This window comes from Homo sapiens, chromosome 9, assembly GCF_000001405.40.
Source record: "Homo sapiens chromosome 9, GRCh38.p14 Primary Assembly".
Taxonomy (NCBI): Eukaryota; Metazoa; Chordata; class Mammalia; order Primates; family Hominidae; genus Homo; species Homo sapiens.
The window spans coordinates 74,124,772-74,138,390 of NC_000009.12; the positions used below are offsets into that span (position 1 = coordinate 74,124,772).

General features: G+C 37.1%; 1 long non-coding RNA gene across 1 annotated transcript in view; it reads right to left on the reverse strand.

Annotated features, from left to right (window-relative positions):
* The window catches only part of LOC101927329 (uncharacterized), a 154,205-nt gene that overhangs the window by 3,590 nt on the left and 136,996 nt on the right, over window positions 1-13,619 (reverse strand). The window lies entirely within an intron of this gene.

Genomic DNA, 13,619 nt, shown 5'->3' on the forward strand with positions numbered 1-13,619 from the left:
ATCATATAAATCAGACAAAAGATTCAAACTGGTATCTTCTGGATCCAGTATCCATTAATTTCTCCTGCTTCTGTCCTAAATCTGTGAGCACCCTAACCGTTTGCCTTCTCTAGGACTCAAGTTTTTCTATATAAAAATATAAAAATTAAACGTTATCAAATGTATTTTCTAACTCTAAAGAATCTTTCCATTTTCTCTACCTGATACTATTCTAATGTACACCAAGGCCAGTGGTGAGATTACCACATATGTTAGCCACTGGCATTTATTTAGAAACTAATTATAAGCAAAGTGCCAAGTGATTTTACATTTATCTTATTATTTTTACCTAAGAATCTCTACCAAACAAAAAAGGGGTGCATTTAAACCTTTCTTTTTTAAGTTTGAGAGTCCTGGTGTGTTTCTGAAAAAAAATAAAATTATCTTTGGTTCCAAATTCTATGAATTACAATTTTGAATTTTACCTCTGATCATTTCCTTCCATGAAAATGTGTTGGTTACTCAGGAGTTAAAAATCTCTCACTTTTGCAATCCAGACAATTTATGTATTTCTGGTTTAATGTGTGGCTATCTCAAGAGATCTAAGGTGCCATTAGTGAATGCAGAGCTATTGCTGAGGAGATGCTAAATAAAATTAATGTCTTCAGATTTACTAACCCCAAACACAGCCACATTCCCTGGGCATGTGACGACGGAGAGGCTATGCATATGAGCCTAAAACCCTGGAGACCTCAGCCTTGTACTATAAAGAAGATCACAATTTAGTAACATCTGGTCTGTTTGTTAGGCTGAAAAAGGTAGAGAAGATGAAGGAAAGTGCTAAAATTAATTTGAGAAAGATGACACAGCAGTTGTGATTATTTCCTTGAAGCATTCTATCCCGACTTAGGCTTCTGATAGCTAAAAGAAGAATAAACGCAGTGACTCTCCCAAACTTAGGCTATAAATGAAGGTAGAATCCTTTTTCCTGTAAGATCCATCTAGGAGTGGAAAGAAATACAAACAAGCTGCTATGGGAATCTCTAGTTATTCTTCCAAAGAAAAGTGATAAACTGCAGCTTACAATAGAGAAGCTCCAGAGAGCTTCCAATACTTTAACAAATTGCAACCCCCCTTTCCCTGGGACTGAGGAAAAAGTAGACGAACAAGGGGATCAGAGTGTAGATTTGTTCGCTACCACTTTCTCTCCAGGGAGACTCCTCAAACTCTGAAATTGATAGGTTCAAGACAAAGGATGCCCCGTCATGCCTCAGAGTCAGCATCCACCGCCCGACTGGTTTCTTCTGTCTCATTCTTTCTCCCCACCAGTGACTCTGATGCTTCACTTCACACAGCTGTAGCCCTGCCCAGTTCACAAGCAGCCTTCAACAGCCAGCACTCCCAAGCCTCATGATTTGCCAATAAGGAAGAATGGGAATTTTAAAACAAAACAAAACAGAAAACACTGAATCATGCTTTCCAGATACAGGATATGGTATCTCAGCAAAGAGCTTTGCATAGGGAATGCCATTCATGCCTCACAGTCTATCTGACGCTGATCCCATATACCAGGTATAAACCATTGTCTAGAAAAAGGATCTGCTTCAAAATTCTTTATATCTTTTATCTGAGCCTCATTATTTTTTCTCAGGTGTGTCAGTTATACTGTTTAGCCCTCCATTCCTTTTCTACCCTAGCTTAATTCTGAGTATCCTCCATAGCTCTTGTCAACTCTCCATTTCTGCATTAGATTCTCCCCTCTCTCTGTGACTTACTGGTTGGAGGTCCCATATCTGAAAAGGTGTTTCAAAGCCTAATATTATAGCCTAAATTCATTAAGCATATGATACATGCCATGTGCGTTACATGTTGTTTTACATATTATATTTTTTCCTTACAATAACTGATAATGGATAAGTATTATTCTTCCCATTTTCTAGATGAACAAATTAGAGCTGAGAAACATTAAGCACGTCACCACTATTATAAACCTTCTCTCCTCATCTTTAATAGATGCATTCTTCTGAAAGTCTCAAAATATTGAACGTAAGACAATGACCAAAATAGCTCATAAGATCACTGTGAATTTTAGCATTTGAGTGATGCTAACCCAACATATGGGGGGCAGCAATATGGCATCTAACACCCATGTCAGAGATGAAAACTTTTACAACTATTTTCTTGGTATAACTATTCACTTCACAACATGTAAACAACTTTTACAACTATTTTCTTGGTATAACTATTCACTTCACTTCCTCTGTTTATTACCATAACAACCCTCATCCCTTGCTAAGCAGGATTTCTTTTAAGAGAGGATGCAGAAGAGTGGAACTGTTGATGTTTATTCATAAAGGGGTCCTTCTGGTACAAGGCCCTGACATGTTATAATTCAATTAACATTGAAAGATTTCCAGATATACCTTATTTTTTCCAACGTCTATCATTAAGCACAACAGTTACTCCAAACCTCTGTTCTCTCTAGTTTCAGCAGCCAAACTTTAAAATAAAGTTCGTGCCAGGGGCAGTGGCTCATGCCTGTAATCCCAGTATTTGGGGAAGCCAAAGTGGGAGGATCGTTTGAGACCAGGAGTTTAAGACCAGCCTGTACAACACAGCGAGACCCCATCTCTACAAAAAAATTAAAATTAAATTAGAAATTTTGCAGGATGCAGTGGTATGCACTATAGTTTCAGCTATTGGGAGATTGAGGCAGGAGCATTGCTCGAACCCAGAGATCAAGGCTGCAGTGAGCTATGATTGCACCAATGCAGTCTAGCCTGGGTGACAGAGCAAAACCCTGTCTCAAATGAAAGAAAGAAAAGAAAGAAAAGAAAGAAAGGAAAGAAAGAGAAAGAAAGAAAGAAAGAAAGAAAGAAAGAAAGAAAGAAAGAAAGAGAAAGAAAGAAAGAAAGGTGGAAAGAAGGAAGGAAGGAAAGATGAGCATCTAAGATACAGAATTTCAAAATAGAAATAAAAGGAAAAATAGCTCTACAATTTCTAACAGCCTGAGTGACAGAACAAGACCCTGTCTCAACTAAATAAACAAATGAAAGACAGGAGGGAAGGAAGGAAGGAAGGAAGGAAGGAAGGAAGGAAGGAAGGAAGGAAGGAAGGAAGGAAGGAAATTATAGCACCTAAGATGCAGTCCTAAATAAACATAAAAGGAAAAATAACCCTCCAATGTCTAATGCCTTTGCTGCATCCCAGTTGTGCCCATATTTTTTCCTCCTTGACTGCTACTACCCAGTTCACGTCACCACTAAGCCTCCCCAGACCACTGGCATATCTTCCATTCTGGCACCCTTGCTTCCTATCCTTCCCCTACAAGGCCTCCAAAGTGATGTTTGACAGACAAAAATCCAAATCATGTCATTCCCCTACGTACAATCTCCTTGAAAATTCCCAATATACTTCGAGGGCAATAAAGACTTTTTCCCCTGGCTTGCAAAGTGATCCTACTCCTACATCCTTTCCTCCAATTGTCCATTCTTTTACCTACACTGGTCTTTCTTCTACTGGCGAGCACCCTGTGTGAGGGCCTATATACAGCCTGTTCTCCATGCCTTGGATGTTTTTAATGTCAGCCCTCCTAGAGTCACTCCTTCTAGTTATTCAGATCTCAACTCACTCCATCCTTTTTAGAACAACATTCCCTGATGACCCGATTGATAAGAGACACCTGGTAACTCTATCACGTCACCCTATTTTAATTCTCTGCCTCGCATCTATCACTGTATAAAATGTGTTTTTCTCTCTTCTCTTACTGTGAGTGGGGGTTTTGTCTGTTTTTTTTTTCCCCCCAGTGCACGCCTGAAATGTAGTAGGAACTTAGGAAATAATTTTGAATAAATGAGTGAATGATTCTCAGCCAGTAAGAGGCCGAAGATCTGGTGGGCTAAAAGGGAGGTCATCCACACCTTGAATAAGTAAATGAAATACAATGAGGAAACCTATTGAGGGGTGGGGGGACTAAAACAAAAACACAAAAAAATCCTTAACTAGTTTAAGAATAAGGAAATAAGGCAAAAGGATTGCTTTCTAATGCCCTGCCTGACTTCCAAGTAAGAGAGCTGATAGGAAGCTCTTATTACAGTTCTCCAAATCTTGGATTGAAACTCTCCCTCATCTCCACCCCAGATCTTGCTATAATCCTGCCTGAGTTAGCAATAAACTTGAATATTAGACCACCCAGCTTCCTTGACCAAGCCCAGTTTTTGCTTCCAAGTTACTGTTCTTGTTATTATAACTTAACTTTAGGGAGGGGAGTTCCGAATCAGTCCTCTCCACCAATCCCAAGTTACTAAATTTCATACATAAAATCTGTACTTAATGTTTTTAATACAGAACCTACAGAATGTCAGCACCTCAAGTAATGTCATATAAATACTTTATCTGTCTGCCTTTCTGGCAGCCCTTCTGTACCCAGAATGAAGTGTTTCAAATGTCCTGAAGAATTCAGGGTCCCCTAGGACATGAACATCCTTAAGAACCAAATATTAATGGCCACATATTCCATGCTATTTTAATAAAATTTTTATTGTAAAAAGTACATGTGGTGCACAGCCACTCTGGAAAATGGTTAAACAATTTCTCATAAACATGTTCTTTCTATGTGATCCAGTAATTCCACTCCTAGGGATTTGCCCTAGAAAAATAAAATGACCACAAAGAACCTGTATGCAAATCTTTAAAGAAGCTCTATTTATAATTTCTTAAAACTGGATATAACCCAAATGTCTTTCAATGATGGATTGATAAACTATGGTAGATCCAAACAATGAAAACAATTTAGCAATAAAAAGGAACAAACTAGGCCGGGCGCGGTGGCTCACGCCTGTAATCCCAGCACTTTGGGAGGCCGAGGCGGGCGGATCACGAGGTCAGGAGATCGAGACCATCCCGGCTAAAACGGTGAAACCCCGTCTCTACTAAAAGTACAAAAAATTAGCCAGGTGTGGTGGCGGATGCCTGTAGTCCCAGCTACTCAGGAGGCTGAGGCAGGAGAATGGCGTGAACCCGGGAGGCGGAGCTTGCAGTGAGCCGAGATCGCGCCACTGCACTCCAGCCTGGGCGACAGAGCGAGACTCCGTCTCAAAAAAAAAAAAAAAAAAAAAAAAAAAAAAAGGAACAAACTATCAACACAGGCAACATCTTGGTTGTATTTCAAGGGTATAATGTTGAGTGGAAAAAAGCCAGCCTCAAAATATTGTGTCAGAACAATGGTAACCGTGAACTGACCCGTGGTTGTCAGGGGCTATGCAGAGGGGGAGGGTGTGACTGGAAAGGGATCGCATGAGGGGGTTTTAGAATGATTAAATTATTCTGTATCCTGAGTATTATGAAGGTTACGTAAATCTAGACATCTCAAAACTCATGAAATTGTATACACAAATAATGTAGTTTGCCATATGATAATTTTAAAAACAAAAACTGCATATACCTATACACACAGGGGTGTATGTGTGTGTGCACCTGTGCGTGTGTGTGTGCATTGCAGAACATCTAGACAGGAGAAAGTGTGTAAAGAAAAATACTGAGTCTCTTCCTCCCTTCCTTGAAATCCAAATTCTACTTCGAATTGGAAATGCCTCTCTCTTGCTTTCTGTGTGTATGTGTATATGTGTGTGTGTGTGTGTGTGTGTCTCCTCTCTGTATACTTATTTGTATGTACATATATGTATATCTGTATAGATTATGCATAGCTGTAGATCTAGATTTACATTTATAAATATGCATACCTATAGACCTAGATCTATAAATCCATATAGGTGTATCTATATGTTTGTGTGTGTGTGTATGTGTGTGCACGCACGCCCAAATTTGGGCAACACAAATCACACTCTATTGTTATGTATGTTACCTTTTTCTTTTAACACGACCTCATGGTCATCTTCCTATATCAACAAAATCAAATGTAATATTTTTATTTTTATAACAATTATATTCTAATATATGGAAAACATGTTTATTTAGAAGTGCCTGATGATAAGTATTTTGATTGTTTCTAGGTTTTCAATATTTTCCTTTATGTTTGTTTTTACCATTTTAAGTAAGGCTAGAGTGAATATTCTTGACATATATTTTTTGTCATACATGAATGAGTATTTTTGTAAAAACAATTGAAGAAAGGAATTATTGAGCAAAACGGTATATTCATTTTAAGTTGTTACAGGCATGGCTAAATTTCCCTCTATATAATAAAAGAACAATTGAGATATAGATAAGGAGAGCTTTATTCAAAATACTATTGTTTAGAGGGAGGTGGACTATCATACTATAGGAAGGGGACTATTGCAATAGAGGGAAGAGGTTATTGCAGTGAAGAGAGGGGGGTGACTGCAGCAGAGGAAAGAGGACTACTGTAATAGAGAGAGGCACTATTGCTAAGAGAGGGTGAGTGACCACTGCAATACAGGGAGGGAACTATTGTGATAGAAGGAAGGGACTATTGCAGTAGAAGGAGGGGGACTATTTTAATATAGAGAGGGGCTACTGCAGTAGAGAGAGGCGACTATTGTAATTGAGAAAGGGGAATTTGCAATAGAGGGAGAACTCAAGGACGCTGGGATCTGCAAGCATCTCAAAGGTCTGGCAAAGAAGAGCTACTTTTTCATAGGGAGGAGAAAGCAAGGTAGTTAAAAACCAGGTGTTGGGGAGTGGGCTGAGCTAGTGGCATAATCTGACAGTTGATCAAGAAATGTTTTTCCCTGAAGTCAGCTGATTCTTGGGAGAGGACGTCAAGGAGGGTTGTTCTACATGGTCCGATGTTCATAGGTGGATCAAAATTCAGCTGACTGGGGAAAGAGGGAAGTCCAACTAAAGTTTAGTAAGGTTAAGGTAGGGGGCATTTTGCCCAGCTTGGTCAATGGGGACAAACAGTTCAGCCAGTCATTTGTGAGACAAAACCCAGAAATCTGGAAGGTCCTGTCTCACTCTGTTATGGGTAAACGGGGTCATTCGTGAGTCTTATCTAAGTCACATGGGGAAGGATGGTTCTTTGCAGTAAGCCATTAAAAGAACACAAAAGAGTGGTGATGAGTGGTTTCTTAACTACTGATATTTTCTGGGACCACAAAGCTTAAGTAAACTTAAACACCATCCCCTCTAACAAGGATTGTATTGATTTTCTCTTCTCAGTAATTGTATCTATTAAATACACCCTAACCAATATCAATATTAAATAGATCTCTTTCTTTTCTTCCTAAGTTATATCAAGCTTCCTCTATGTGACTTATGGCATGGCATGGACAGTTCTGCTGTAGGTACTGTGACTCAGAAATAAAAACTATAAAGTGTGCAATCTTATGCGAAACTCGAACTCCTGAGGCTTCAGGAGGTCTCTCCCAACAAAAATGGTGTAAAAGCTACAAACATGGGGCTCTGAGATCCTCTGACTTTGTTAACTTTTTTCTCTACTCAGGCTCCCTTGAGAAATGAACCAAGAGACAATCTCCCTAAGGAATATGGGTTGCTTGGGAACTTGTCTACTCAATTGTATTCTCATTTCATGCATATCCACTTTAATTTCTTCTCTGCTGGACCAGTAAGATAGGAATACAGGTAACTTAAGCATGGAGTCATCCTAACCACTCTTTAAAATTGAACCAGACATTGAGGTCTAGCCTAGGTCCTGTGTGTGTCAGACACAGATTTTTTTTTTTTCTGAGTTAACTATTTACAACTTTAAACTTTCTGTTTTAAATTTAAAATGTTTTTGTTTTTCTATTGCTTTTCATCTTTATTACTTTTTTATTTTTTAAATGCAACAAATTTGCCTTTTCTCCTCATATGTATTGAAAATAAATTTCCTGCAGCTTAACTTTTGCCCTTTAAATATCATATAATGGTGTTCTAAATTTTGGTAGACAATTTTTCAAGTTCTTTTCTTCATACTTTCTCAGTTTGAGATCATATTTATGAAAGTCTTTTCTGCTCTAATATTATAAAAATGTTCAAATATTTTCTTATAAATACTAAATTCATATAATTACATGATTTTTATATTTGTTAGAAATCCATTGTTATCTTTACTGTAGTCATTTCTAGAGTGAACCCCAAGATTATTTTACCAAATTATTTACATTTTATTTTTCTATAGGTAGGAGCTGATGTTTTATCATAGTTTGCTATCTTAGCTTCCTTCTTATTTCCCTAGTTTGATGAAATTATTTCTAAAATAAAGTTAAAAGAAGATGTTTCGGCCTCACTTTTTAAAAAATTTGTGTTGCCATTGCCACAATCCACAGCTGTTCAATCTTCCCCCAAAGGTTTCCTGGTGCTGTCACTTAGAAACAGGATATTTTCCTGACTCCTTTGCAGGACTTGCAAAAGTGGTGCCTTGTTGACTCAGCCCACCACTCTCAATTTTTCACTGGAGGGAGCATGTGAGCAAACGAGGTAGAAACTGGAGTGCATGAGCGCTGGAACCAGCTGGCTGCTTTGGCACCGGCAGGAGTGAGCTCCACTCACTTGGACCTGCTGCGTTCCACCCTCGTGGCAGGGAGCGCACAGGTGAACAGGTGCAGGAGCCAGGTGAGCGCTTATGAACCTTGGCAGGAGCAAACTCTGTGCAGACCCCATGGCAGCATCTGAGGGGTACCTGTGACTCCTAAAGGCCCAGAAGGCATGTTACAGTGCTCTTTTAGCTCTGCTGTCTGTGATGGCTTAAATGTTAACAGCTCAGTGGGCCCTTTACCTTTTTTTTTTTTTTTTTCAGACGGAGTCTTGCTCTGTAGCCCAGGCTGGAGTGCAGTGGCGCGATCTTGGCTCACTGCAAGCTCCACCTCCTGGGTTCACGTCATTCTCTTGCCTCAGCCTCCCGAGTAGCTGGGACTACAGGGGCCCACCAACACGCCCGGCTAATTTTTTGTATTTTTAGTAGAGATGGGGTTTCACTGTGTTAGCCAGGATGGTCTCGATCTCCTGACCTCGTGATCCTCACACCTCGGCCTCCCAAAGTGCTAGGATTACAGGCGTTAGCCACTGTGCCCAGCTCTCAGGGGGAAGAACAGAAGAGAAGACAGGGCAGGAAGGTAATCTTCCCCTGAAGTCCAGCCATCTCCAGCCAGATTCCTCTCCGAAGTTGCACCCTCAAGCTGTCCAACTGAAGCCAAGCCGCTTCTCTCCGATGTCCAGATGTAGTCCCTGACATCCAGCTGCTTCTCCTCTCTGCCTGCTGAGTCTGGGGTCTTTATAGGCACAGGATATGGGGAGCGGGGCAGGCCATGGGTGGCGTAGGAAAACAGGGATATAACTTCTCACTTTGGGCAACGATCTCAGGCTATCCGGCTTGAGGGTGGGGCTTCTCCCTGTCTGCCTAGAATTTCCCTGCCCCCTGTCCCTACCAACTATATAGGCACACCCACCACTTCCTCCTACATGCCCAACTCCCTGACACGGCTCCTCTGTTCTCCACCTCCACATTTATTCAAACATTTCAAGAGTGTTATATAAATGCAATGATAAAGTATGTAACTTTTTGGATGAGTTTCACTCAACATAGTTACTTGCAGAGCTATCTAAATTGCTGCATGAATCAGTAGTTTCTGTCCATTTTTATTGCGTAGTGGTATTCTGTAGTATGTGGGTATCACATTTACTCATTCAGCTGGTTAAGAATATTTAGGTTTCCAGTTTGGGATTATCACAAATATAACTGCTACAAACACTTGTGTACCCATTTTGTGTGGATTTAAGTTTTCATTTCTTTGAGATAAATACCTAATTTTTCCAGTGTGGCTATACCATTTCATATTTTCACCAGCAATGTATGAATGATCACTTCTCAGCCTCCTCTCCAGCATTTGATGCTATTGTTGTGTTTTTTTTTTTTTTTTTAGCCATTCCGATATCACTATCACTAGGTTATCACTACATTTGGTTACCACTACACCCAAACTCTTATTTTGATTTTAATTTGAATTTCCTCAAGGACTAATTATGTTGACCATCTTTTCCTGTGCTTATTTGCCATCAGTATATATTCTTCAGTAAAATATTCTTACAGTCTTTTGCTTATTTTCTAATTGAACTTTCTCTAATTGTTGAGTGTTGAGAGTTTGTTATATTTCAGATGCAAGTCTTTTGTCATATATGTAATTTGCAAATATTTTCACCTAACATAGACACACCACTGTTTAACTTGTCTTTTTATTCTCTTAACAAAGCTAAAGTTTTTGGTTTTATGAGGTCTAATTTATTAAGCTTTCCCTTTATGTATCATTGCCACCGGTGTCAAGTTTAGAAGCTATTTGCTTAGTCCTAAGTCCCAAAGATTTTTTCCTGTATTTCCTTCCAAAATTTTTGTAGTTTTACATTTTACATGTAAGTCTGTGTAATCCATTTTGAATTAATTTCACTGCAAAGTGAGAGGTATAAATCAAGGTTTCCTTTTTTCTTCTTTCTTTCTTCATGTTCTTGCCTGTGGATGTCCAGTTGCTCTAGTACCATGTGTTAAAATGTTGTTCTCCCTTGAATTGCTTTTGCATTTTAATTGAAAATCAGTTGGACATATTTGTGTGCATATATTTATGGGTACTCTATTCTGTGACATTCATTAACATCTCTATCCCTCTGCTAATAGTAAACTGTATTCATAGTACAGCTATATTACAATCTAGTAGAGCCTTAAAGTACAGTAAAGCCTTAAAATCTAGTAGACATTTATTTTCACTGTATTCTTTTAAAAATTACTTGGACTATTCCAGGATTTTTTGCTTTTTTATATAATTTTTAGACTAAGTTTGTCTATTTCTACAAAAGTCTTCGCTGATATTTTGATAGGAATTAAAATTAATTAATTTGGGGAAGTATTGACATCTTCACTAATGTTGAGTTTTCTATTTGTTGAACGTATTATGTCTTCTTTGATTTTTTTTCAGCAGAATTTAATTTTCAACATAAAAATTGAAACATTTTGTTAGGTTTAGTTAGAGGTATTTCACTTTCTTTAAAGCAGAATAAATGGTTTTTTAAATTTCTTTTTTTTAACTTCAGTTTCTATGTGTTCACAAGTAGTATGCAGAAACACAATTGATTTTTATCTGTTAATTTTTTATGCTACAACCTTGCTGGACTCTTATATTAGTTCTAAGAATTGTTTTGTAGATTCCTTTGAGTTTTCTGTATTGACAGTAAGGCATCTGCAAATAGGCACAATTTTATTTATACCTTTTCAATCTGCCTTTTGTTTCTTCTTTCTTTTTCATCTTTTTTTTTCCTTATTGTACTGGCTAGAATTTAGAATTTTTTGTACTATTTCAAGTAAGTCTAAGAAATGCAGACATTCCTGTCTTCTTTTCCATATTTAGTTGAAAGTACAGAGTTTTCCCACATTAAGTATGATATTAGCTTTAGTTTTCTACATAGGCAGTTTTTTTTTAATGAATTGGAAGAAATTCTTTATTTCTACTTCACTTACGATTTTTGTCATGAATAGATACTGAATTTTGTCAAATGCTTCTTTGCATCAATTGCTGTATCTACATGATTTTTCTTCTTTAGCCTATTGAAATGGGCAGACTACATTGATTAATTTTTAAATATTGCCTCCATTCATCTATAACTATAATAAATCTCTTGATCTTTACGTGAAAGTCTGTTTATACTTTGCTGGATTTGGTTTCCTAATATTTTGTTAAAATTGTTTAATTTAAGCTCATGAGAGACATTTGTCTATACCTTTTTTTCTGGCTTTTGGTATCGGGGAAATACTGGCCTCATAAAATAAACCTGCCTCACAATTTTAAAGCTATCCAATTACGGAATTTTCCTGACTTTAAGAAGGCTATGTCAATTTTGTTAAATGAAAAATGTATAGTACAGCTATGACCCAAGACATGTGACATTTTGTTTTACCAGTGTTGTTTTAATTCTAACTGGCATTTGTAGAATTTTTCTAGTTTCTTTCAGCAAGTTTATTTTTCTCACACCCTATCAACAACCATGTTATGATATTATATGTATTGCTGACCTGTTGTTCTATTTAACACCAGAGAGTTTCATTTTAGTAGTGAATGAAGTACTATCCTAGAAATCTGTGGCATGAAAACAAGATAAATCACTAAGCAACTTGTATTTTTGTCAGGTGCATCTGGAAGCACCATTATTTCACAATATCAATTGTATTAAATATTTTAAATAATCAGGGAGGTGGCTCATTAGTCATAGTGTATGTGGGCATATGTGATGAATGCAATTCATTTAAGTATATTTTATATTGTGGACAGAGTACTGAAAATGGAAACAGAATATCTGAATTCATGTCTTCATATACCAGCTCTCCTGCTTACTAGCTATACTTGGGACAAATCAACTAGTTTTTCATATGGATATAGTAGAGATATTAACATTCATCTTATATATAAGAAACTTAAATAAGGTCATTTTAGAATTAATACGATGTAAATTTCTTACTGTGACTACCTACATTTTACTATGTCCTTACATGGCTTTGACTATAAGCTTTATGCAGAGATACATTTCATTGATGTTTGCAAACACAAAATGATTTTGAAATAAGGTAACTCAAAACGGGATTTTCAAATTTCACTTCCAAGTTGGGAAGCTCAGAAGGCTATGGTTAGGCAAACTTTGAAAGAAGAAAAATGTTTTCTACTAGAAAAATATATAGTAATACTGAAAAATACTTCTGGAAAAAAAATGAGGAGACTAGAAGAATGTTCTGAGTTCAAAAAATGTTAATGCACTTCTAAATGCCATTCATTTTGTGTTTCATAATGCACACTAGTCACCAAGATCTCCAGGAAATCCTGAAACAGAGAAACCAAGATAGCTTAATTTAACCTAGCATTTTAACACTTATTTAAACATGAACTTTCCCTTTTAAAAAATATTAAAATCATAGACAATTTGTATTCTCCGTAAAACTCTGTGGAACATTCAGTAACATAGTCCTTTACTTAGAGGAAAGCAAAGCAAAGACAACAATGCAAGAAAATGGTACCTGTGAAAAACACCTTTTCATGCTAAAATTTAAAAAGAAAACTGGATTTAGATAACTGAAATCTAAAAGTTTTAAGATTTGGGGAAGAGATAGGGGAGCCATGTGGATTTACACAAATCACATAATTTTTGAAACATTTTAATGTACTGGATTTTTAACACTTTTATATATACATATTATAGGACAATATATTATATATAATACTGTGGCTTAGAAAAAAACAAGTAATATGGCATTGGCTGCATTAAAAAACTTCACCTGCATCCTTCCACAACCACTATTATTTTGCCTAAAATATGTGCCACATGAGGGAACTGTTATATCCCAAGGACCACAATACCAAGTAGTTGAGGTTAACTTTTTATTTGAACAGTAGCCACGCATGTGACAGGTAATGTTCACAAGCTTGCCATGTTTCCATATATTTAGTCATATATTAAGAAAACCTGAAAGTTTTTGCACTGAATTTAAAAGCTGTCATAATTTTCAGTCAACATGAAAGCTAATAATATAAAACATTTACATCCTATGTTCCATGAATTTATGCTGATACAAATATCCACTCAGCAAAACTGAAAAAAAGAGAAAGAGAAAGAAAAAGAAAGCAAAACAAAAAATGTAAATAGTGCTATTGATTTCTGCCTGTCATTCAGCCTGTGTAGACCGCACAGTA